This window comes from Homo sapiens, chromosome 9, assembly GCF_000001405.40.
Source record: "Homo sapiens chromosome 9, GRCh38.p14 Primary Assembly".
Lineage (NCBI taxonomy): Eukaryota > Metazoa > Chordata > Mammalia > Primates > Hominidae > Homo > Homo sapiens.
The window spans coordinates 1,938,733-1,964,804 of NC_000009.12; the positions used below are offsets into that span (position 1 = coordinate 1,938,733).

At 39.2% G+C, this 26,072-nt stretch overlaps 1 long non-coding RNA gene across 1 annotated transcript in view; it reads left to right on the forward strand.

Moving 5' to 3' along the window:
• LOC105375951 (uncharacterized) overlaps positions 1-23,965 on the forward strand; it is a 261,361-nt gene extending 237,396 nt beyond the window's left edge. The window contains exon 3 of the long non-coding RNA XR_001746599.1: positions 23,389-23,965. This is a non-coding gene — a long non-coding RNA (uncharacterized LOC105375951). The remainder of the gene's footprint in view (positions 1-23,388) is intronic.
• Positions 23,966-26,072: the final 2,107 nt, after the last annotated feature.

The window sequence follows — 26,072 nt, forward strand, 5'->3', positions numbered from 1 at the left end:
CAGGGAGTAAAGACTGTGAATGTGTCATCAGAGTTCCCTATGCTACATTTCACATGAATCTGATCATGACCTACAGAAACTCTCCAAACAGCAGGACCCAGGTGAGGCCCCTCCCCACCCCCACCCCGGGGATCCACCTTGCCTCCTTTCCTCTCTGCTCATTCCTGTAATGTATTTCTGTCCACTATCTGCTTGGTGTCTGACTGTCTCTGTTCCCCTTTCTCACATACAGTTCACTCACTTTGAAGTCTCACAAACCCAGTGTGCTTCCTTTTATCATCACTTTATGTGGATCTGTTTGTCAAGCATTTGTTGTCACTATTCTGAGTAGTACAGTCCATTCTGGCCCCTGAATGCTGAGCACAGCCTCCTGAGATCTCCACCTCCCTAAATGCAAGTCCACGAATGCCTGGGGCCTGGTGTCTTTGGAAGTCACAAGGTGGACATAGGGGTTCCTGCTGGCCCTTGAACGGTTCCATGCAGTTTCTCTGCCTGGATCCAGAGGCAACTGGGAACGTAAGGAGGGTGACAAAGGGATTCAACATATTCCAGCAATACACAGTTTCAGGTTGGGGTGATTTGCTTTGTGTGATTTGTAATAAATGCAATAAGAGCATCATTTATTTCCAACTCTCTAGTAGGATTATTAACTTTTTCTTCCAAAGATAAACTTGATTACATTACTTATTTATACTATGTACATTGCATTAGGAGTAAAAAATGCATCAAGGAAAGAAATCATATACAGATTTTTTAAATTAATGTTTTCTCATCCACTGCTAATAACAGCTTAGATTATTAAAAAGAAAGAATCTTAAATATGCAACTCACCTTCAGGTCTTGATACTGCTTGTTTTCTTTTACACATTTTGCAAAACTTGACAATCTAGAAATATCATCTGTACTCACTTTCAATTCCTCATTTTTATACCAGAGCTGAGCTTTTGTGTTGGGATCTATGACATATCAGGACCGGCAGCATGATATAGGGGAAAAAATGGAAGCTTTGAAGCTGCATATATTTTAGTTTAAAATCCAAGTAAGCCTTTTACTAGCTGAGGATGGTAGTATCTAATTAGAAAGCAATTTTAATCATGGTTTTTAAATTTTCTACATAGAGATGGCAAATAAATGTAGTGGATAGTTATTGTGAACTAGGCACTACGCTAAACACTTCACTTTGTTATCACATTTAATCTTGACAACAGTTCTATAAAATAGGCCTTATTATTTTCTCCATTTTACAGATAAGCCAATTGAGACTTAAATGAGCTAACCTGCTCAAGGACATTCGATGAATAAGTTAGGGGTCAAACCTATGTGTTTGACTCTAAAGACTCCCTTCACCATTGTCGTATACTGCCTCCCATATAGATCACCTCCAATCCCAGTCGCAGCATCTACAAGGTAGGTGTCATCTCCAACTTAAGACGAAGAAACTCATGTGAGAAAAAATCTTGCCTCCCCAGCTGCCCTCATTTTCTCTTCTGCTGGCAGGTGTGCAGCCCTGGCCCCATCAGTCCTTTGAAGGATGCTGCCCTCTATGGGTAGACCGGTAGGAGAGGCCGTGCCATTCAATTCAATTCAATTGATGCCTTCTTTGTTTCTCCAGTCTTTAAAGCGGACTTACCAATAACGACAGCATGTTTCCATGTTCTTTTACCTTTCTCAAAGTGCTATACGTATATTATCTCATTCAAACCTCCTAACAACCTTGATGAAAATGAAATTCAGGGAGTTAAAGAGACAGGCACAAGGCAACAGAGTAGTTCTCATTAGTGCAAAGGGAATTTGATTGCAAACTCACCATGTTTGTGTTAGTTATAACATTTAGTTATGATTTCTCCCTGAGTGCTTAAATGCAACATGAATGTAATAAGCACTGAGTGCTCAATTATATGATCGTAACACCCCCCCCAGCTTTGAAGCCTCTTGGGGAAGTCCGTCACTTTTGGAATAAAGAATAAACTCTCGGCCGGGCGCGGTGGCTCACGCCTGTGATCCCAGCACTTTGGGAGGCCGAGGCGGGCGGATCACGAGGTCAGGAGATCGAGACCATCCTGGCTAAAACGGTGAAACCCCGTCTCTACTAAAAAATACAAAAAATTAGCCGGGCGTGGTGGCGGGCGCCTGTAGTCCCAGCTACTTGGGAGGCTGAGGCAGGAGAATGGCGTGAACCCGGGAGGCGGAGCTTGCAGGGAGCCGAGATCCCGCCACTGCACTCCAGCCTGGGCGACAGAGCCAGACTCCGTCTCAGAAAAAAAAAAAAAAAAAAAAAAAAAAAAAAAAAAGAAGAATAAACTCTCGCATGACATACATGGGCCTCACTGTCTATCCCCCTCCCAACCTTTCCAGCCTCATCCTCCACTGCCGCCCTAGCCATATACCTTCTCCACTCAAGCCGTGTTACAGCAGCTGCTCTGACGGAATTTCAGAATATGCTTCATCCCTTCATCCATCCAGGCTTGTCCTCTGCCCCATTCAGTGCATGGAAAACACTGACCACTCTTTAGACACCCATCACATTTATCACCCTCGCTGCCCCAAACTTTTATCCCCCCAAAAATGATTGTTCAACACTCTGTAAATACACGCCATACTACATCATAATTGTTTGCTACATATTGTTCTTCCTGCTAGAATACGTCTTCTTCAAGAGCAGCAACCATCCCATTCATGTAATGCCCATCACATAGCTATATGTATCTAGCACATAGGAGGTAGCTGCAAATGAGTTTTTTGTATTGCTTTTTAGCTAAATGTGTTGTGTTTGCTATGTGCCAGGACATTGATCAATATCCTTTGCCTCTCATAACACACTCAATCCTCACAACAACCCTGTGAAGTGTGTTCTGTCAACTTTCTGACTCATTCTACAAATGAGAAAACTAGGCACAAGTGAGAAAATTTTCCCCCAGGTAATCCAGCTAGTAAGTGGCGGAGGCAAAACTTAGACCAGAGGCCAGGGCACGAGGGCTGGTGCTGTTAGGAACTCTGCTATGAGGACCCTATTTGTTGGTTAAAGGTGTGTCAAATGAATGAACTAGTTGCCCAAAGCTCCCACAATGTTAGAAGCTTGCTATACCTAGAGTCTGATCCTATACCTATAAGGAAGGAGATAAGGAAAAATTAATAGTAAGAGAGCCTTGATTCTCAGTTCTACCAGAAGCAAAAACTGCAATCATTTTCTTCCCCTACAAAGAGTATTGCTACAGTGTCACATTGTCTTTTAAAAAGGTCTCAGGAATAATAAATTCTGACCATATCATATCTTCATCATAGTTTGTGACATCCATTGCTTTTCCTTGCCATCCCTTCAAAGACCGTGTATGAATCTAGTAAAAAGTATAATTAGATGTAGAACCCCTGGTTGGCTTTTCTTTTTTCTTGGTGACACTGAAGGTGGCATTTAGGGTGGAAAAGGAGGAATTGGAAAGCGCATTCCCTCTGGCATCCTTAGGGAGGTGGGCAAGTACCATAATTCAGATAATTTCTTTTAAGTGCCTCCTGATGTAAAAAGAAGGATAGGAATTATTTTCTCTTTCTTGAATGCACAATGAATAATGTATCTTTGGGTCAATTCTCCAAATGAGCTACGTGCCATTGCAGAGCAAAACTGGAGAGTGAATTACAATGAATTTTCTTTCCTTTTCCAAGTCCTTGAGAGTACCTTATTGCATTCTTTATCCAAGTCAATATATATATTGGGGACCCCAAACATGGTGTTATTGTCTATGGCAAAAATAAATTTGGGCCTTCCTCAAGGAACTTCTAATATATCAGAGACAGTCATGTAATCCACAGACTATAACACAATGTATACTTAAATTATTAATAAAACAGATATGAAAGCAAAGTGCTAGAATAGCTCATGGGGAGAATTTCCCATAGAAAAATAGGAAATTCTTCATGGAGGGGGAATCCTTTCAGCATTCCATGATTGAAAGAAAAATGAGGCTGGATGCGGTGGCTCACGCCTGTAATCCCAACACTTTGGGAGGCCAAGGTGGGTGGATCCCCTGAGGTCAGAAGTTTGAGACCAGCCTGACTAATATGGCGAAACCCCATCTCTATTAAAAATACAAAAATTCGCCGGCCGTGGTGGTGGGCGCCTGTGATTCCCAGCTACTTGGAAGGCTGAGGCAGGAGGATAGCTTGAACCCAGGAGATGGAAGTTGCAGTGAGAAGAGATAGCGCCACTGCACTCCACCCTAGGTAACGGAGCAAGACTCTGTCTCAAAAAAAAAAAAAAAAAAAAAAAATGAGCTCACTGAGCTCATTAACTCTTATAAGCTTTTATCAAATTGTTTAGAACCTGACATAATCACACAATTTCACAGAGGAGCATACTATTGGAGGAAATAGAAATTTAGAAAGAGATAATAGAAGGTATAACGATGATAAACAACATTTAATAAATGCCTACAAAATACCAAATGCTTTAAATATTTAATTTAATTTAATCCATATAAGAATCTTGCAAGGCTGGTGTTATTGGTGCATTGCACACTTGAAGAAACCAGAGCTCAACGATGTTAAGTAATTTGCCCAGTTCACAAAGTTCCTAATTGCCAATGCCAGGATTTGGAGCTAGGTCTATTTTTTACAACCTTGGCTTTTCCTATTTCACTATGCTACCTTAAAAAAAGTATATAAAAGGCAAGTAAGTGCTTGATGTCATTCTTCCTGAAGGACATGAAAGGAATGTGCAAACAGCACGGTCATTTTCTATAGTAAAATCTTTTAATTATGACCCAAATCACAGCACTGCGGTGCTAAGCTGATTGTGAGCTCACCTGAAGTCAAAGCACTTCCCAGCAAGTTCAGTGGCAACACTCGGCTCCTTTTCTATTAGCAAATAGAGAACCCTAGGAAGGTATGTTTTATCCAACTTAGACCAAAATGTTATGGAGTGAAACATTTATAAGGTTGCCAGTGGGAGGTGAAAGAAAAGAAAAGGGTAGAGTTTGCAACTTAGTATCTCTAAAACTTCATTTAGGGACCTACTATTATTACCGTTCTGGAAATAAAGTACCTGTACGGCCCTTTTAAGGACTGTTTTAGACAATATTCACAGGGAGCATAAAAGCCCTGAATGAACAAGTTGACAGAATTGTGTGGCTGGGAGCATCCGTCTAATTTGATGAGTTTAGAACCAATTCTGCAGCCCAAATGAAGAGTCTGTGTCTCAGATGATACTCATGATTCACTAATGGGTTGCTTTTCATAAGTAACGAGATGACTCACATCATTTGTTTCCCAAGGTAGGCGATGTTTTCTGTCATTACTTTTAATGATTTATTTACCCTTCACCATTTTTAATCATTGAACGCTGTCAATTCATTGGAATCCTCTGGACCAAAATATTATAAGTTTATCTTCTTTTAAAGCTTAGAATAAAATCAGGCAATTGCTTCACAGAACTTCAGTTTACTGCCTTGCTTATTCTTTTGTGTCACATCAGATATACATGTATATATAAAATATATGTAATATATATGTATATATATAATATATATGTATATATAATATATATGTATGTATATATATTATATATATGTATATATAATATATATGTATGTATATATATTATATATGTATATATAATATATATGTATGTATATTATATATGTGTATATAATATATATATAATATATATGTATATATATAATATATATGTGTATATATATAATATATATATATACACACACACACATATGATATAGGAAAATTCAGAAATTAGAATTGAGCAAATGCTGCCCCGGTTCTGCCTGCAACCCTATTTTCCATGATAGATGGTAGAGAAGAGTATACTTGAAGATTCCAAGTAAAAATATCTACCAGAACTTTGAAGAGGAAGACACAAGAATAGAAAAAGGAAATATATCCTGGGACAAGGTATGCATATGGAAAAGCCAATTAAATACTTTGTTTTAATTAATTTAAGTGTCCTTTAACTCACTCTTGATAATATATCCCATCTTGGATTGATTTCTCTGTAAGAACACGACATCCAACCTCATCATGTCTTGGGGTAAAAAAAAATTCACCAAGACCATGGAATTCATTCATCCACTTCAACATTTACCGAGAACCTATTATTGCTACTCTGTGCTCATCACTATACTTCCAGTTTTGAGTGATGAAAATAGAGAATTAGCAAGGGTCATAAAACAACTTATTCCCCAAGGCTTACAGTTAATCTATTGATTATGCATATTTGTCACCCATAGGGGTATAATTTCTGGTTCTCTCTGGAATAGATAATTTGCACATTTGAAAGGTTTTTAAGTGCGCTTTCAGTCCTGAAGCAGTAAGTGTATCTCATAAGTCTAGTTAAGAAATAAAGGCATGCTAAGTCATACTCCTCAAAATATTAATACATAACTGAAGAATATTTGGCTTACTGTGTTGTCTTGTTAAGGAAAATGGAAGAGATGGTGACTTACCATGACAAGGTAAATATCAAAAGATCAATGCTAGAATTTTAATGAAAATCATTTAAGCTTGCCCCATGGGAAGTTTAGCTGATCAATTCTGAGTACTAGGCTTATACTTCAGAGGCATGTTAATGGTTAAGCAATTTTGTTCATTTATAAAAGGAGTGGGGGTGTGGAGAATAGGAACCCAGTGATTGGCAGAGTACTTACAAGTCTGCAAGACACAGGAAAATTGCAAAGATAATGTAGTAGTTTTCATGGAGCATTGCCCTGTTACTATAGTTTCATCTCAGCAAAGGGCACTATCAGCACCAAACAAGTGTGATATACAGCTCCTCAGTCAAAATGGGAGCAAAACCAGACCTGCTAAGGAGGAAGACACCATGGCAGAAGCGCTGGTCAGGCTAAAGGCCAACTATGCCTATGAAATCTGGGACAAATAGTAAATACCAGCAATTTGAGGTTGGCTCAAAAATGAAGGGACAGGTATGAAGCAGGAATGCATGAGATATTCTTTGAAGCAAGATGGTATGACTGTCTTTTCCTCCCAGGTTTTATTCAGCATTTCCATGTCCCTTCTGATCAGACCTCTGACAGTGGGTGAGGCCAAAAGCCAGACAGACACTGGGCCACTATTTCCTATGTAAGGAGACTACTAGGTACAGAGTACAGTATTTTGAATTTAGGGGTAAAGTGGGCCAAGAGCTCTGCAAAGATGACTCTTGATGTGAAATAATGACCACTACATTCTCTTGGGAGCAGCTGGTGTGAACCAGCACCCCTGAGCAACCAGGACCTGAGAGAATGATGTGTTTATTTATGTGAAGCTGGGTGCTGATGCTCATCATTTTCATAATTACTTTATTTCTCATCTCCCCCATTTCCATGGGCCAAACATAAAGTGTGCAGGAAAGCAACTACCTATATGTGCTTCTATTTACTCAAGTTTACAGCTATCGTACAGTACTGATTAATCCTCCCTTCTCCATGACACTGAGGCAGTAGCATTCTAATGCCATCTTTATTATTGTTCGCCAGATCGCATACTACTGCATACAGAAATAGGGTAAATCACGGAACTAGTGTTTGAGGTCCATAAAATGCAAGGTTATGAATATTTCATTACTATACATTTTATTTCCCTGTCTATTCTGCATCTCCCAAAATGTTGTTTGTTTACTTATTGGCTCACTGTTCACCAGAAATACTTAATTCTTAATACAAAGTGTGGACTGGATCACCAACCCCTGCTTTGTGGCCTGAGCTACATTTGAAAGTAATGATGGACTTTTTTCTCTCTCTTTTTAATCATCCCTTCAATCCACAAATACTTGACTGCCAGGTTACTTCACTAACAGGAGTTTCAGCTTCTTCGTCATAATTGTATTGATTTGCAAGCCCCGCAAATCAATTCCCAAACATTTCTCCTGTGAACTATGGCTACGTATTTAAATTTTTCTCAACGCCCCATTGTATCCGTCTTTGGCTGAAGTAAGCAGTTAGACTTTTGCTGCAGATCTTGGCAATGAAAGACACATTGTGCAAGTGCAATTAGCTTCACTCCCTGCACTGTACAAATGATTTGTATGAATCAGCTGGTCCCGCGAAAGATGCAGCCATTATCACCTGCTTCTGAGTTTTCCTTTAACCACAAAATTTATATTAGTAAATAGCCAGGGGGATTCAATCTCAGCAAAATCAGAGTCTGAATCCCCAGCATTAAGGTGCTAACTTCTCTCCTGCTATAGGGTATAGTAGATATTAATACAACTCTTTGGTACAGACTGCAAAATATATAAAATGTCATAATTATATCTGCAATTCAGCAATGAAACAATTTTCCTCCTTTCTTCACTGTCATCAGCATAATAGCAGCCTATGGGATTTGTATTTTCTGGCTGTGAGCCCTTTTATGGGCTGTAGAAAAAAATACAAGCAGGTTAGTTTCACAGCTCTGAGAAGGCCTCATGACAGAAATATTGCTTTTAATGTTATTGTCTCTTTCTAGCTTGTAACCCACTCTCTTTAGGTAGAGAGGCTTCTGTGCTGATGCAGCACCACTTATGTTTTTCTGATAAACCTCTGTGTTCCCTTCCTGGCTTCCCCCACCCATCTGGACAGAGAAATAATTAACCAGCTTTCAGGATCATGCTATGTTATCTATAGATAAAGGGGAAACATGAAATGGGAGGGGGTTAGTCAGAGGGGAATGAAGTCAGGAGGAAGCATGTCTCTGAGGTTTCTCTTGGAGACATAAAAGAACATAAGAAAGATGCATTCTGAGTGAATCTTCACATCCCGTTTATTTTGCTAGCCAAGACAAATATCACAGCTCATATCTAACATTTGAAAAGCAGGGCCAAAGAAAATGATGGATTAATAAGTCCAAGGACAGAATAATAGAAGGAAAATATATTATAGAGAATGATGCCCCTGTCAATCTGAAAGGGGCGGGGAAAAAGCTGAAATGGAAGTGGAAAAAAAATGTACCATAGCAACCTTAAATAGAAACACCCTCCCGTAGTTATGCTAAACATTAACTAACATTACTCAAGACCCCTATGGTACTATTGCTTCAGAAACAGGTATCTTCAGACCATTTGCGATTCCTTTTGTTATAACCTACACTATGGGCATTGTGAGTTGAACAACAGGCTAAATGTTCCCTCCATAATTATTGGTAATAATATTCCATGCACATTTCTATCCCCCATCATCATCTGTGATGAGGCTAATCCAGTACTTTCTGCATGAACTGTTATAATACCCAAAGCAGCAGGACGGAGTATTATCAAGCGTGGGTTTACCGATGGAAACCTAATGTAACAGAGTTCGTTTCCAGAAAATAGGTAGGGATGGAATTTGTCAGCATCAGCCATAGAGACAGACACCTGTAACATGCTCCCAGGCGACTCACTCAAGTGACCATTTCTCATAATGGTTTCTTGTCAGTCACAGGAAGCATTCTAAATACATTTCTATAAAACGAAGAAAATACTCTTTAGTCAAGAGGCAGGTCTTTAATGAGAGGTGAGGTGATCAGAATTCTGCTGTCATCTCAGCCACAGACACTTAGCAATGTTCCACTGACCACTCTGTGGCTCAGTTTCATAAATGCTGAAAGGTAGACTACAGAAAGAAAACTCTTCAGGAGTGCATATAATTTTAAAATCTGTTAGTGGCCCAGAGATCCCCAGAGACAAATAGTTCCTCTATTGTGATTTAAAACTAAGTGATGAGACCAATAGTTTTGCAAGCAATAAATCATTATTTGAATAGAATTGTTCAAAATGTCCTGTAAAAGGAAGTAATAGAAGGGAAAGCCTAGAAGTTACTAAAAAGGACTCAATTGTAAAATAGCAAAACTGTCATATATGTTAGACCCTTCTTGAACTATAATATTATAATGAGGAGACCATGGCTGTGCCCACATTTAAGAAAAAAAAAATTGCAGCATACGAAAATTCAAATTTACAAACCAGATCAATTAATGGGTGATTATTCACACTATAAAAGGATTTATCGCTTTACAAATGGATTCCCTGCAGGGTTCCATTTTAATAACTGAGCTCTCTCAGTGTTAGGAGTCACTGCCAATTAAAAGTCAATCAGAAGTGAAGATAAAGCGCCTCTGAGATTAAAATGTATGTCGATGGAAAATCATCATAGAGTTACAAAAATTCACATTACATACAGCTTTGTGGGGACACAGAATTTATTTCACAAGTATATTGAGCACCTACTATAAACTTAGCTGGTCCTGGGAATCACTGCCTTGGGATTTAAAGAGTAAAATAAATGGTTCCTGTTTTCAGAACTTCTGCAGTGTGGTTGCAGCAGTGTGGTATGGAGGGAGTCCCATCAGCATTCTGGGTGGGACAATGCTTTATTGTGGAATTTGATTCTGCACAATGTCAGTTGATATAGTTTAGAGATCTGTTCCCACCCAAATCTCATGTTGAACTGTAATCCCCATTGCTGGACCTGGGAGGAGGTGTTTGGATCACAAGGCCGGATCCGTCACAGCTTGGTGCTGTCTTCGTGACGGTGAATTCTCCTGAGATCTGGTCATTTACTCTCTCCCTTTCTCTTACTCTTGCTTTCACCATGTGACAGGCTGCTCCCCCTTCACCTTCCACAATGATTGCAAGCTTCCTAAGGCCCTCCCCAGAAGCCAAGCAGATGGTGGGGCTATGCTTGTGCAGACTGCAGAACCATGAGCCAATTAAATCTCTTTTCTTTATAAATTACTGAGTCTCCAGTATTTCTTTATAGCAATGCAAGAATGGCTTAATACATCAGTTCTCATTCGCTAAATGCCAAGGGAGCTCCCTGTCATTGTATCAACACAAATTCCCCTATACATTTCCCAACATTTTTGTGTCACTACCCGCACAGCATGATTGAGGGCCTTTGTGGCACTCAGAAAGCCTCGTTGAATCTTCGGACATCAGTGCTAGAGGACATATTACATTCAACTCTTTCATTTGGATGAGAAGGAAATGGAGGCCAAAAGAAATGAAATGGCCCACTCCATGGATCTTTCTAGTAAACAAACTGCTTTGGAGAAAGTGAGCGCATTTGATGGCCACTCTCTGAATTCAACATTTTTCCACTTTGAATTCTCTCCCTATTTTCCTTGTTTTCACTCTCCATCTCTGCCCTTTTTTCTCATTTCCAGGAAAGCAGTGCTCTTTCTGTTTGTTGGCTTCAGCAAACAAAGCAGGTGGAAACCTGCCGCCTGGAACCTCCCTTCCCAGGGCATTGCTTCTTCTAATAGCAGGATTTTAGAATAGAAGGTGAATAGGTGAAAATCTAGCCCAATGACTCCAATGGTACTGTGAGAAAGATTTTCTAATGAAGTAAGGAAAGTCCTCTGCCAGGGATTTAAGGAGGGGAGAAGGTTTGAAACAGTGCGGAGGGTCGTAGGGTGTAAACAACAGGATGAATAAAAGAAAGTCTTTTTTTATTGTATTCGGTTCTGCTAAGGTTCAGCTGGTGAGCTTGCACAAAACCTTAACTGACCTAATCAGCGCATTTTTATTATTTCCTTCAGCAGCTTTCAGCAGTGAAAGAATGTGAGAAGAGAAAGCCCTCTTGGAAGTCGTTCATAACTGATGAATGGTTAAATGCAAAGAGAATGAGGGATTTAGATATGAGAGCAAACACATCATTGAAATGGCTGGCCATGAGGTTTATGCTGGGGGGGCCGGGGGTGGGGGTGGCTAAAAGGACACAACAGGTGATCTGGATCCCCCAGATCTACACCTTCAAGGAGCCAGAGGCACTTGACATATGAACTCTGGTGATGAGACAATGGAAGAAAGGGATGTGGAGTTTCCAAGGGGGAAGGTCAGAGTTTCAGATCTCAAACAGGCAAAGGTTTGTGTAACTGTGTTGTCTCTGATATGGCCAGCTGGTGTGGTTGAGGCTGAGTGAAAATGAAGTTATTAAGATAAATGTGAAATCTCCTAAAAACGGTAGGGAAAGAGAGAATGAGACAGGTGTTGAAGTCATTTTTAAAGTAAATGGAAGTGAATTTGAAAAGAATGACTCAAATTTCCATTAAAATGCCTCTGGGACAAGAGATTACAAGAAGATATGCAACAATTCTCAACTGCCGTCATATTAGTTGAATTCGTTTGGGAAACCTAAAATAAGTCTTCGTTTACTCATTGAATTTATATGGATGTCATTATTATTCAACCTATTGGTCGGTATTTTGGATACATACTGTGCCTAGTGTAAACAGTACGAATATCAACCCTGTGTCAGATACTGTACTAAGCACTATGATACAATTGGGAATAAACAGGTACCTGCCCTTAAGAAGTTTACAGCCTAGTGTAGGAGGAGAAAAAAGACTCTGTCTTCACGGGGATGTCATCATAGGAGGAATGTCTAACCCAGACTCTACAGTCAAGGAAGGCTTCAGGAGGAGGCAACATCTAGGCTGGGACTTGAAAGATAAAATGAGTTAAAGAAGTCAAAGGTGATACATGACAGGAACAGTAGGAGCAGAAAACAGCAACACACACAGAAGAAACTGAGGGTATGGCACTGTGAAAGGAAGTTAAACTGTGAGAGGGAGTGGTAGGAGCGGAATGGGCAAAGACCTCTAGTATCACTTGAAGGGGTTATTTTATCCTGAAAGCGTAGGAAGCCATTAAGAGATGTTTACACTGGAGGAATGGCGTGATCAGATCTGCATTTTAGAAAGCTCATTCTCATTGCCATTAGAGTGCATTAGTGTGAACAGGACTGGCCTGGAGAGATAAAGTCCAGTTATACCAGGTGGTTGTACCAGTGAGGGAGAGGAAAGACTGGAAGCAGACGCTCAAGATCTCTGGCTTAGGCTAATGAAAAGGCAGTGGCACAGATCTCAGACATTTGAGTACCTGGTTTGGTGAGGGGAAAATGATAGTCCTCTTTTAGGCATATTGATTCTGTTTCAGGTGCCAATGGGTTATGCAAGCAAATGTGGTCAGTGGACAGATGTGAAGTGCACCTGGAGGTCAGGCAGGAGATCTGGGCTGGGAATATGATTGTAGGAATCCTTCCATGTGACTGAGGCCCTGAGGAAGAAGGAGACACAGCAGAGCCAACAAGAAGAGGGAGGAGGCAGGAATCCTGCAGAACTCTGTGTATAATGGCCATCGAAGTAACTCAGACCAAAGAATATGTGGGTCTAACGGGCTTAAAGATCATAGCAGTGGGGGGTGGAAGGATATGGGTGGGTTTCAGAGACATTACAAAGTGATTCCAAACTCTCCCTTTGTGAAGCCCCAGGACGTCTTCAATTACAATAAATGCTTGCTTGCCCAAGCGCTTCAGAAAGCAATCTTATCATTGTGTTTTTGATTTAGAGGAGTATGAAAACAGTTCAGGTATCCCAAAAGAGAAGGCACTGCAATACCGCTATGCAAGGGAATTTTCCACAATTACAATTATTTAGAGCCTGAGGCTGAAATCCTGTAGTGTAAGGAGGTCTCGAGGGTGTAAGCTGTAAACAAATGGAAAATTTGATAGCCAAGGTGAATATTCATTGTTCCTCAATATATCTGTCAGATTCCATAATGAATTCTTCCTCCTTGTCCTCTACTTGGCCTGGAATCTGGTTCATTTCTTGACAGCCCTAGGGGAGAGCCTGTCTTTTCTGGAAAATCAGGATTACTTCTCCATTTTTTAACAAAGGCATCATCCATGTATTAGCCTCATCATAGCCGGTTTGCTGAATTTTTCCTCCCTGTCTTTTATCCAGTACCATTTTAGCAATTCTCCTTTTTCTGAATTAGTTTTTCAGTCCAGAGAAATTCCCTCTTATAGCAGTTTCCCATTGTCAGGTTTTTCCTAATTGCCCTGCCTCTGGTTAATGTATTCCTATGACTTCCCGTCCTTACCTGAACTGACTTCTCTTGATCTTCTACCCGTGGGCACTGTACAGATAGCTTCCCTTACTCTTCAACCTTGCCCCCACTGTCAGCTGCTAACTCGCTCAAAGCTCCCCAAACCACCTATACATTTCAAATTCAGCATTTTTCACTTTACCTCATTATTGATAGCAACTTCGGTTAGGAGTGTTCTCAGTTTTCTCATGTATAAAATGGGGATAATACATGTTTATTTCAGTATCTGGCAGATGGTGAGAGCTCAGTAAATCTTAACCAACATTTTTATTATTTCTGTTTAAGTCCCAGCTTCCATATTCTCCGGTTGTGTAATAAAAGGTTGGACACTCACTCTCGATGACCCTGTTTTCTCATTTGAAAAATGGGGATTGTAACACCTGTCTAGCTCTGAATTAAGAGGTTCCATATGAGACAGTAAACAAAGGCCCTTGCGTATTACAGAAATGTATGAGAATGTTACTATTTTGCAGTTTTCTTTGAAGGTAGTACCTTGCCTGGGTTATCACTAGGAAAATCAACAGTAACTGCACAGAATGCTAGCTGGAGCTGTAGAAGATGTAGAAAATCAGAAATCTGACTTATTATAATTTTGTCACACATCTGCCCTTGATTACTAATGTTTGAAGGATACTCAAAGATTCTCTAACTTTTATTTTAGGTCAAATTTTTTCAAAACTACATAACGGAGCCATGAATACTTAAATCTCAATAAAATGTCTTCTCTGAATTATTTAACCATATGAAACTATTACAATTAAGGCTTAATCCAAAAATGGCTATGGAAAGCATTGTTCTGTCTCATTTATAAAGTTCTCATTGAAAACATTTGTCCATTCTTCTGTTCAGTGTTTATAAGGATCTACATAATAAACCCCACCAAAAACTTAATGTTAGGACTAAATTCAGTACCTCTTCATAAACAATTATTATTCTACTCATAATGCAATGCACACTATGTAACATATTCTTTCATTTGTTCTTAATTTTTACCTTGGTTTATTAAAAGGATTATATGGGTTCTGGACCTGGCCAGCCGACAAGGATTTAGCCTGGCTGGGAAGCAGCTGCTCATTTTCCCCTCTTATGATGCACCTGCATATTCCTCTTGTTTTCTTCTTGTTCCTGCTTTCCACTTATAACTTCCATGGCCCAGCTGCCTCATGACCTTGTTTCAATTTCAGCTCCTATCACGAACCGGACAGTTTCTTTCTTTCCCATACTTCAAATTCCTGAGGGAAGAGATGTGATTGCCAAGGCTGAGCACTTGCACATCAGTTTGTGTAGAGCCCCTGGTGCCAGCCCCATCATGTCTGCAGGCAAACTCAAGAAAGGCCACTGAAGAACAGGACCATTCCCAGCCCAGCCAGGACAAGGCAGGGTTGCTGCTGTAGAACATGAGATCCAGGCATTTTCCTTTAATGAGGCTTGCTCTTTTACCTTCATTTGTATTTTTGTTTGTTTGTCTTTTTATGGTACATAGAAGATGGATAATGTTTACCTCCAAGGCTTTTTTACAATACAGATTTTTTTTTTTTAATGAAGGAGCATATTGACTTAGAAATCTTTTTGGGTAAACACTAAATCAACACTAAATCAAGCCAAGTTATTCTTTCTAAAAAATAAAGCCTAGTTAACTGTGAGGTTGTTTTTAAGGATCCTAATTAATGAAGATTCTACCATACCAAAAGGTCCCTCCAACACAGTCCTTAAATTATGGAGTACCTGTGTTTGCCAGTGTTAATAGTGGAAAGACATAGAAGACGTTCTCTGTTGCCCTCTAGGATCTGAAGTCTAACTCAGTTTCCAAAGTGGTATCTTACCTGTCCTGAGATTGGGCATGAGCAGTGGTGTCCTGGAGTTGGCTTACACAAGCTCGTGAGAGTTGATTATTAAACTTCAGGAACTTTGTGAACTGCTTGATAACACCACCATCATTAAAATTAAATAGAAGGAACCTACCTCAACATAATAAAGGCCATATATGACAAACCCACAACTAACATTATATTGAATGGGGAAAAGTTGAAAGCTTTTCTTCAAAGATCTGAAACAAGAAAAAAGTTGCCCACTTTCACCACTTCTATTCAACGTAGTACTAGAAGTCCTAGCCAGAGCAATTGAGCAAAAGATTGCAATAAATGGTGTTTAAATTGGAAAGAAGGAAGTCAAACAGTCCCTCTTTGTAGATGACATAATCTTTTACATGAAAAACCCTAAAGACTCCACCAAAAAACTATTACAACTAGTAAATGAATTCAGTAAAATTCTAGGATACAAAATCAACCTACAGAAAACCAATGGTGTTTCTATATACTAAAAGTGAACTATCTGAAAAAAATTAATCAAGAATACTATCCCATTTACAATAGCTACAAAAAATTAAATACCTAGGAATAAATTTTACAAAGGAGGTGAGAGATTTCTACAATGAAAATTATAAAACATTGATAAATTGAAGAAAATACAAACAGATGGAAAGATGTAAATTTCATAGATTTGAATAATTAATATTGTTAAAGTGTTTATGCTACCCAAAGCAATCTATAGATCAATGCAATACCTACCCAAATACCAGTGGCATTCTTCACAGAAATAGAAAAATTTCTCAAATTTGTATGGAACCACCAAAAGACCCCAAAGAGCGAAAGCAAGCAATCTTTAGCAAAAAGAACAAAGCTGGAAGCATCCCACTACCTGACTTCAAAATATATCACAAAGCTATGGTAACTAAAGCAACATGATACTGCAATAAAAACAGGCAAACAGACCAATGGAACAGAAAAGAGAAGCCAGAAATAAATCCACACATTTATAGCCAACTGATCTTTGACAAAGGCACCAAGAACAAACATTGAGGAAAGGACACTGTCTTCAATAAACGGTGTTGGGAAAATGGGATATCCACATGCAGAAGAATGAAACTCGACCCTTATCTCTCAACATATAAAAAAAAACTCAAAATGAATTAAAGACTTAAATGTAAGACCCAAAACTATGAAACTATTAGAAGAAAACATAGGGAAAATGCTGCATGGCATTGGTCTAGGCAAGGATTTTTTTGGATAGGACCTCAAAATTTTGCTTTTGTTTTTGCAAAAAAAAGCAAAATTACACAAATGAGACTATATCAAATTTAAAAGCTTCTGCATAGCAAAGGAAACAATCAACACAGCAAAGAGGCAACCTATAGAATGGGAGATATTTGCAAACTACAGATCTGACAAAGGGTTAATTTCCAGAATATATATGGAACTCAAACAACTCAATAGCAAAAACTGAAAAATAAATTTAAAAAAATTTGATTGAAAAATGAGCAAAAGACCTGAATAGACACTTCTATAAAGAAGACATACAAATGCCGACAGGTTCATGAAAAAATGTTCAATATCACTAACCATCATGGAATACAAATCAAAACCACAATGAGATACCAACCCACCCCAGTTAGAATGGCTATTATCAAAAAGACAAAATATAACAAATGCTGGCAAGGATGTGGAGGAGGGGGAACTCTTATTCACTATTGGTGGGAAGGTAAATTAGTACAGCCATTATGATCAACAGTTTGGAGGTTCTTCAAAAAATTAAAAATAGAACTACCATATGATCCAGCAATCCCACTACTGGGTATATATCTAAAGAAAATGAAATCAGTATGTCAAAGAGATATCTGCACGTCCATGTTTATTGCAGCACTATTCACAATAGCCAATATATGGAAACAAACGAAATGTCCATCAATGGATGAATGGATTTTAAAATGTGGTATATGTATATACAATGCAATACTATTCAGCAATGATAAATCAATAAAATCCTATCATTTGTGACAACATGGATGAAGCTGGAGGACATTACATTAGTGAAATAAGCCAGATGCAGAAGGACAGATACTGCGAGATCTCACTCGTGGAATATTTAAAAAGTTATAGAAGTAGGGAGTAGAATAGTGGTTGGCAGAGGCTGGGGAAGGTAGGGGCAAGAGGAGATGGAGAGAGGTTGGTCAATGGGTAGTATTTTATGGTTAGACAGGGAAGATAAGTTTTGGTGTTCTATTGCATTGTAGTGTGAATATAGTTAACAATAATCTATTATATATTTTCAAATAACTGGAAGAGAGGATTTTGAATGTTCTTTCTGCAACGAAACGATCAGTGTTTGAGAATGGATATGCTAATTACCCTGATTTGATTATTACACATTGTATACATGTATCAAAATATTACACTGTATCCCACAAATATTGACCATTATTATGTGTCAATTAAGAATCAAAAAAATTAAATCATATCAGGTCACAACTTATACTAGCAATAAAAGTAACAAATACTCAGAACTCATCACTTCCTTGTAGTTTACCACACTTTACTTTTATCTCTGCTTCTGAGGTTACTTTATCTACTATATTTGTATGATTTAAATACTATATAATAATGTGCTACTGCATGTTTCTTCCCAACACCCTGCACAGTGGCATCACATTGGCAGCTTGAAATCACAGATGATAGGTGTATTTACACCAATGAAATAGGCAAACACTACAAATCAAGGTGTTTCCCCCTTCCGCTTCCTGCCTTCCCAGAGAGCCAGTTGTTAAATATTTACCAACATGCCACTTGGGCATATGCTATGCAAATTGAAAGTAAAACTTTAAAATTTGCTCAAATATGCAACAATGTTAGGTTTGGTTAAAAGATACTTTAAAAAATTGGGAACCATTGCACTAATATTGAGTTACCTACTTATCAATCCATTCAATTTGCTCATCAGTAGCATAAGCATTGAAACCTTTACGTATCACCTCCTCTATTTAACAGTCTTACTGCTAACCTTCTTCTGAGAAAATCTCGCATTGCATTTCTCAGGATGGGGAGAGGAGGCCTCTGAAGCTTGTAATTGTAAACCCACATGTACACACCTGTACAAAATACCCAACCAAGAATAGCAGTACATTCATCTAATGATGGAGGTTAAGCTTTTTTGAAACAATTTCGACTTCTATTTAAATTCAGATGTTTTACTGTCTCAACCAGTACATATATTCTTGAATACAAATGAAGAAGTATGCTTTACTCCACATATTTGATTCATGATGACCTCAGGAACTGCCAAGCAAATTAATCCTAATTACAACCTTTTGAAACATTGCTACATTAATAGGGTGTGGAAAAGAATTACTGATTGAATCTCTCCTTAGTGTATTTTGTCACAAGACATTACCAAAGTGGTTGAATGTTTCAAATTATCTCATAAAACAACTGAACAGAGTGACAGCAAATAGAAATAAATTATGACCTAATCACCCTTGGAAAGTCTACATACAGGATGGGAAAGGAAGGAGTTTTGTGAATCTGGTAACCTGGCAAGATAGGCCTGCCATAGGTGGATTTGTGTGATGAGCTAAGGAGTTTCCCAAGCAGATATCATCCTAATGGAAAAGAGAACCAAGCACAAGCTCGGTCAGGAACGGAGCCAGGGAGGGGTGATTATTAATACATCAGAGCATCTGTCACTTGGATTAGCTCCTAGCCTAGTCCCCCACCCTATGTCTGAGTCCTGAGTAGATTTGAGGTGCTATAAGTAAAAATAGATATAGCTACTCAGGAGATGCATTCTATGATTTTAAAGCACATGCAGTATTGCTTTGAGAACCCTCTGCAGTAAAAGAAGGCTAAGGAGAAGATAAGCATGGCCCCTGTTTCACAATGGGATTCTGAACAGCTGTGGCATCTCATGGGTGCCTGGGCATTGGTGGCATGGGAGCTGGGGGGACAGGAGCCCGCCAAAGCAGCAGCTGGGCCCATCAGACACTGCAGTCTTCTTGGAAAGGTGGCTGGGCAGATGCATCCATATCTAGTGGGAGTTAGAAATAGACATCAGCTGTGGTTCCACACACCAAGCACAGGGCAGAGGGAGCTGAATCCGAAGAACAAAAGCAAAAATGATGCATAGTAACTAACCTGACTTGTTTCTGTATTCATCGAATGTACTACTTAAGGATTCTGAGAAACTTCAGGGAAGGGGGAGAATTTGCAGAGGCCTAGAGTTTTGCATTAGTAGGTAGTGACAAGAGCTTACAAAAAAAAAAGGGTTGCATTCTTTTCCTCTCATGTTGGAAAATTCCTGATGCAGATCCTTAAAGCAAAGCCAAGAGCACATTTGCACCCTAATTGCCAAACTGCTAGTCAGTTGATGCCACAGAAGCAGTGACTGATGCTCAAGAGTTGTGCTGGTCATTGGGTTACTTCTCCAAAGAAGAGGAAAGCCATTGTGCAACTTCAGTGGAGTCCCTGAAGACATGTGAAAACGCTCACCACGCTAGTTATCATGACCTGAGAATGCCCACTTTCTAGTGAGTTGAGATGCCAATGTGAAGATCTCTTTCATTGGAGAATTTGGGTAACACGTAGGGTACTAGAAGCATGAGGCACACTGGGAGTTTGAATGGTAAGCTCTATTAGGAGATATGAGTGGGAAAAAATAGAGGGATGGTCTGTCTTCACCCCATGAATTAATGAGGTTTTTGGGAGGACAGAGACAATGGAAATCCTAGGCTGGCTCTCAGAGGATAAGTAGGATGGAGAAATAAACCACTCCTCCAACACCTGTCAAGACAAACAAACTGTCATTGTGAAAATGACAAAAAAGACACCCCCTCTGCATGGCCAAATTGCAGGGAAACACACCTTTCTCAGGCTGACAGCCCCTTACTCTGAGTACAGATTGGCAAGCAGGGAACATCTGATCTTCAATTCCTCAGTGCATTTGTGCATTGCACAAAATGCACAACTTCATGGGGGTAGTCCAGCCCAATGTAACATGTTATAAAGGTGGGAGTTCATTGAATGATTCCAATGTTAAGAAATAGGGGTAAACAAGGAAGAATGTGTTCTTGGAGGTATGAGCCATAGGCTTAGCTTGAGCTGCAACATAAAGAATGTGGGGCTGGAGCAGTAGCCTGGGGAATTAGCCCTTCCATCTGGCCCAGCAGTATATGCATAGCATTGTTTTGCAGCCCCAAACAGCTGCTGCTGTAAAGGACACAAAAGGCCTGGAAAAGAACTTTTTAGAACCAGGAAGTATCATATCCATGCCTGGAAAAAAAGTCATTGCCGGCCTGAAAAAGATCCTGGAATTAATGGAGGTCATCCCATCATGGCTAGGAAACCCACTGGTGTCTTGGTTGCCATAAGCTGCTCCAAGGACATGAGCAAGGGGCAGCCTCACACATTGCTGGGCTCCACATATCTACAACAATGATCCTGGCAGGTGAACCCAGAAGGAGATGGAGACTTTGAGAGAGCTGACATGGACACATGGGGTAGCACACTGAGAGAAAGCCATGTCCACTACCGAAAATCAGCCATGGCTGAACATATGAAGAAATTGGAAAGAATGGGCTTGTCAAATTTATATTTGCATGACTTCGAAGACAGAGATCTATTTAGGAGAGCAGAGTCTTAAACACCAAGCACCCTACCTGTTAAAGGAGAAGAATGAGTCTGAGAGCAGGATGGTGAACCCCATCGCATTTTGTTTTCTGCCTAGAGCACCACACACACTGATGTGTGCACCCTAAGGGCTGGATAGAGGGGCTCAGGGTGGCATTGTCAATAAGACCCACAAGGACTGTCACTAAACTGTGAAATAGTCGTCACGAGCAGCCATGCTTTTGAGCCCATCTACAGAACACTGTCACAAAAGGGGGCACTCTCTCCCACTGTTCAGAAACCCTTTACGATTTGGACACTTCAAGGGCTTGTGGAGATGCAGGTCTTTGGTGCCCTTTGAAGGTGCTAGAGCTTTTTTCCGAGACAGTGGAATGAGTCACACCCTCGGCAGAGGCGATCCCAGGCCTGGGGACTTGGTGGAATCAGCACATGGGGCAGTACACGTAGAAACAGTCTGGCCTGAATGAGAAGGGAAATCATAAAGCCACATGGCAAGAGATGGATTTATTTGTGAGCATATGTGAGCTACCCCTGGGACTTCCAGAGATGTCTGGGGTGGAGAGGTGGTGATTTTGTACAGGACTGGGATCCAGCATGTGCACTCCATGACAACAGCCAGCAAAACATGAATGATTATATAGTCTTACTTCTGAATAAAACAGATGTTTTCTCTGACTATTGGAACAATAGGTAAAAACTAAAACTTATAATCAAGTATGGTTTGCAATATTCTAAAAGTGCTCAAATTTTTTGGCGCGAACTGTAAAATCTAAAAATATATACAGACTGCTTAAATAAAAGTACATGATTCCTTGCCCATCTGCTCAGGCCTCACTGGCCTTATTTGTCCCCTGCACATGCCAAGCTTGCTCTTACTTAGAGGTCATTGCACTTATGGTTCTGTCTGTGGAATCATGTTCCTCAAAGCTTTATAAGGTTGGCTCCTTCTTACCATTCAGATCTCAGCTTCAATGCCTCTTTTTCAGAGAGGTTTTCTCTGACTGTAGTCACTCTCTCGCATTATATAGTTTTATGTTTTTAATGACACTTATCATTAGCTCAAATTACTTGGGATTTTTTTAGTTACTCGTCTATTGCCTATCTATGTCTGACAAAATGTAAGTACCAAAATACCCAGGACATTTGTTTATCTTGTTCTCAGTTGTATTCCCTAGCATATTAACGCCTGGCACATAATAAGTACTCCTTAAGAATTTAGTGAATTGATTAATTTCAAACATTCATTGTCAATTTCTCTGCAATTGGGAGAATTATTCATTATAGGTCAACATAAAAAATGGTATCTCGGCACTTTTTATCTTATTCATTTCCCAGGTAAATGAGAACCAGGAGAACTTCTGCCTCACATTTAGTATGTAATCTTGATTTGTTTACAGTGTTGACAGATCGTTTTCAAATTCAAGTCTCTAACATCTCTGTACACTATCACTTTTCACATATCAATACCTTAACATTCATTTTGCTAGAACATCGTATGTCTCTATCATTCTGACTTTGCCTTTTCTAACTTGGTGCTGTTAAAACAACACACTATTGATGAGAACCTGTGACCTATCAGCAATATAGATGGTAACTTTTTTACTACTTTAGCAACACTAAAATACTCTGTATATTTTATGGAAACTCTGATCCTCAAAATTGTGCCTGCTAAAAAATGTTTGTAACAGGGGGCTGTTTCAAGTTAGAATTCACGTCCCTCTTGAGTATTTTAGAAACTATGCATACCCACTGGTATTATGGCTAATGTTTTCCAAATCCTTTTAGGTGGCTAGTTTGACACCGAATGTGCTTCTAAGACACACTGTTGAATCATCTTCATTGAAAAGCTTTACGAATAGCACAGGCACTGTCTGTGCTAGATGAGGTGTCACTGTACTTAAAAGCTGGGACATAAACCAATTCACCCCTTGAGATTTGCTCCAGCTAGGTGATATTTTTTCTGTCTTTATATAATAATTAATCTTCCAAACTGTCAAATTTTGCTCTTAACAAACAAAACTATCTCAAGGGAGGGAACAAAATTATATTAATCAATAATAGGAGGTTTCTTTTTCTTTTTTCCATTAGGAATACAGCAGAGTGACTATTCCAGTTTGAAAGGACATTCAAGAGCACAAAAGACCAGTGACTTCTGGGGATATTTCCTGATGTTCTTGGCACTTTTACAATTTCTGCTGTTTTTCCTTTTTTACGTAAATCCTCCCCTAGTAACCAGCATGGGGTATTTCTGAAGTTCATTTAGTGCCATTTTTCTGTATTGTCCAACAGATTGTTTCTAGTACCTTCTGATGTGTGGCAGCTGTGTTTTAACAATTCCAAGTATACCATATGAAAGTAATCAAAGACATTAACACACTAGTGTCCGCAGCTCTAGGGGTATTTCCTGCATGTGGTACTGGTAGGCCATGTGAAGTTGTACATAAATTACTTTGTTTTGTTTTTTTGGTTTGGGGTATTTTTTTGCTTGTTTTGTTTTGTTCTTAGCATGCTGAAGTGTTCTCTAAATATATGTGAACTCATCACATGCTTGTATTTGTGGATCCATGATTCTGTGGACATAGCTAGCTACAAAGAGCATCATACAAAAATCAGCATTCAAGTATAATGTTTACAGAGCATAGAATATTTCACATATTAATCTGTGCAAAGTGATCTCAGATTCCCAAAGGAGGAAATAGTTAAAGTTTAGTGTTTTCTCTGATATAGTGTACCCTGGGTAGGGCAGTAATGGCTAACTACATAACATCCTAATGTAAGCAGTTATTGGGAAATGTTTCACATACAGTATTTTATTATAGTAAGATTGCACTGTACTTAAAGTAAATATCCCTGGATCCCCTCCAAAGCTGAAAGAATGTAGTTAGGTTACAGAATCTGCTCACTCAGCAATCTGTCTTATAATAAATTAGGGTTTTGAAAAAAGGGCTGTTTTGTTTATCACAAAAGGTAGGGAGAAGTAAAGAGTAACCTGAAAAAAGTATACTTTCAAAGTTTGTCAATAAGGCAGTAGGTTGTACAATCTTGAAAGAATGGATAATCATATGTACATTGTATTACCTCACTGATTGCAATATCGATTATATCATATAAGCAAAGTAGCCAAGGATGAAGCTTAGAAATTAAATATCCAGATGTGACAGGTGCCATCATAAGTCGTATTTTAAGATTTAAGTCTAGCTTATCGTATATACAATTTCACCACCATGTTTATCAAAAAATATACACTTTAATTGTTTTATGTCTCCTAGAATTTCAATGAACATAGAAGTAATAGATACATATATATAGATATAGATTATATAGCTGTAGATAGAACACGATTTTACTGTGCCAACTTTCTTGCTAGAGAAGGTATTCTTTCAAAACATGCTTTAAACAAGGGGTTCTAGGACCCCGTGATAAGTAGCTAAAAGCCCACATTTATCTGACGTTCCATTTCTCCCCAGTGACCACTACTGACAGAGCCTCAGCATGTCTGGCCCATGTAGAACTTTCACTCTTAATTAAAACAGTGACACCAAAAGCTTTTCATGATTCCCCAAATGCTATTATAAGGTACAGGGTAAATGTTAGAGCTGGAGCCCCTCTTTGGGGAATAACTATAAAATTTGGAAGTAACATTTTCCACGCTGCTTATCCATGGCCTTCCTGTGGACTCCCGTGGAACTTCACTAGCCACTGGGCCACATCTAATCTTAACTGCTTGCTGAAGGAATCTCTCTGGAATATCTAACCCCAGAATAGTAGATTTTTCTAATCCAAAAAAAAAAAAATGTTTAATCTTCAACTCTACCTCTTCAATTCGTGGCTTTCTTCTGGACACATTTGTCCTACTTCTTTGCCCAGATAAGTACAGAGAAATCATGAAAAGTACCCGTCTGCTTTCCTACAGTGCCCTAAAAAGCTTATGCATTAACCATCCTCAACAGGGTCTGCATTTATTGAGCACTTACCACCAGCAAATGGCAATACCAAAGATTGCTTTTTAATCTAGAATGAATCCCTGTTCTTATCATGCATAAATGTGATCTCATAGAGAGATGGAGATGAATAGATTGGTAGATAAGGTGTTGCTTTGAAAGGAAGAGTTGAAGATTAGGATAATATGGAATCCTTACAGTCTATCTCCCTTATTTCTGAGCCTTAACTTAGCCTGTTTTTCTCAAGCAAAGAAAATTAGAAACAGTTCCTGAAAAGTTGCCATTTGGATCAGCTACTTTAATTTACTTCACAAATTCTTTTGGGGATACTTAGAATGTGCAAGGTACTGTGCTATGATGGAGAGGTACACAAAATGGGGAAAGCAAATGCCTTTTCCTCTAGGAGCTCGTCATCCAGTGGGAGGGTCTTTCCATGTAAAGGAGAAGACTTTCAACTAGCAGAACAGCTGAGCAAAGACCCCGGGGTGGGACCTCCTACAGAATGCTTGGAAATCAAGAAGTTGATTGATTCAGCCAAAGACTAAGCTGTATAGAGAAATAATGAGAGCGGAGAGGAGAGAGGCACTAGCTATCAAACTGAGGCTGAAAAGGAAACCTTAATCCAGGCCGTGCAACATTGAATGCCAGGCTAAGCTCTGGACATTGCTTCCTAAGCAATAAAGGGGCACTCAAAGATTTGGAGGGACGATGAGTAACACAAAGTCGTCCGACTTATCTTTTTCCTATTTATGGCCAAAGTCTTCCATTAAAAACTCAGGCATTATTCAGAAGATCTTTAACAGCATCGCCAACATTATCCAAATTTTGTTA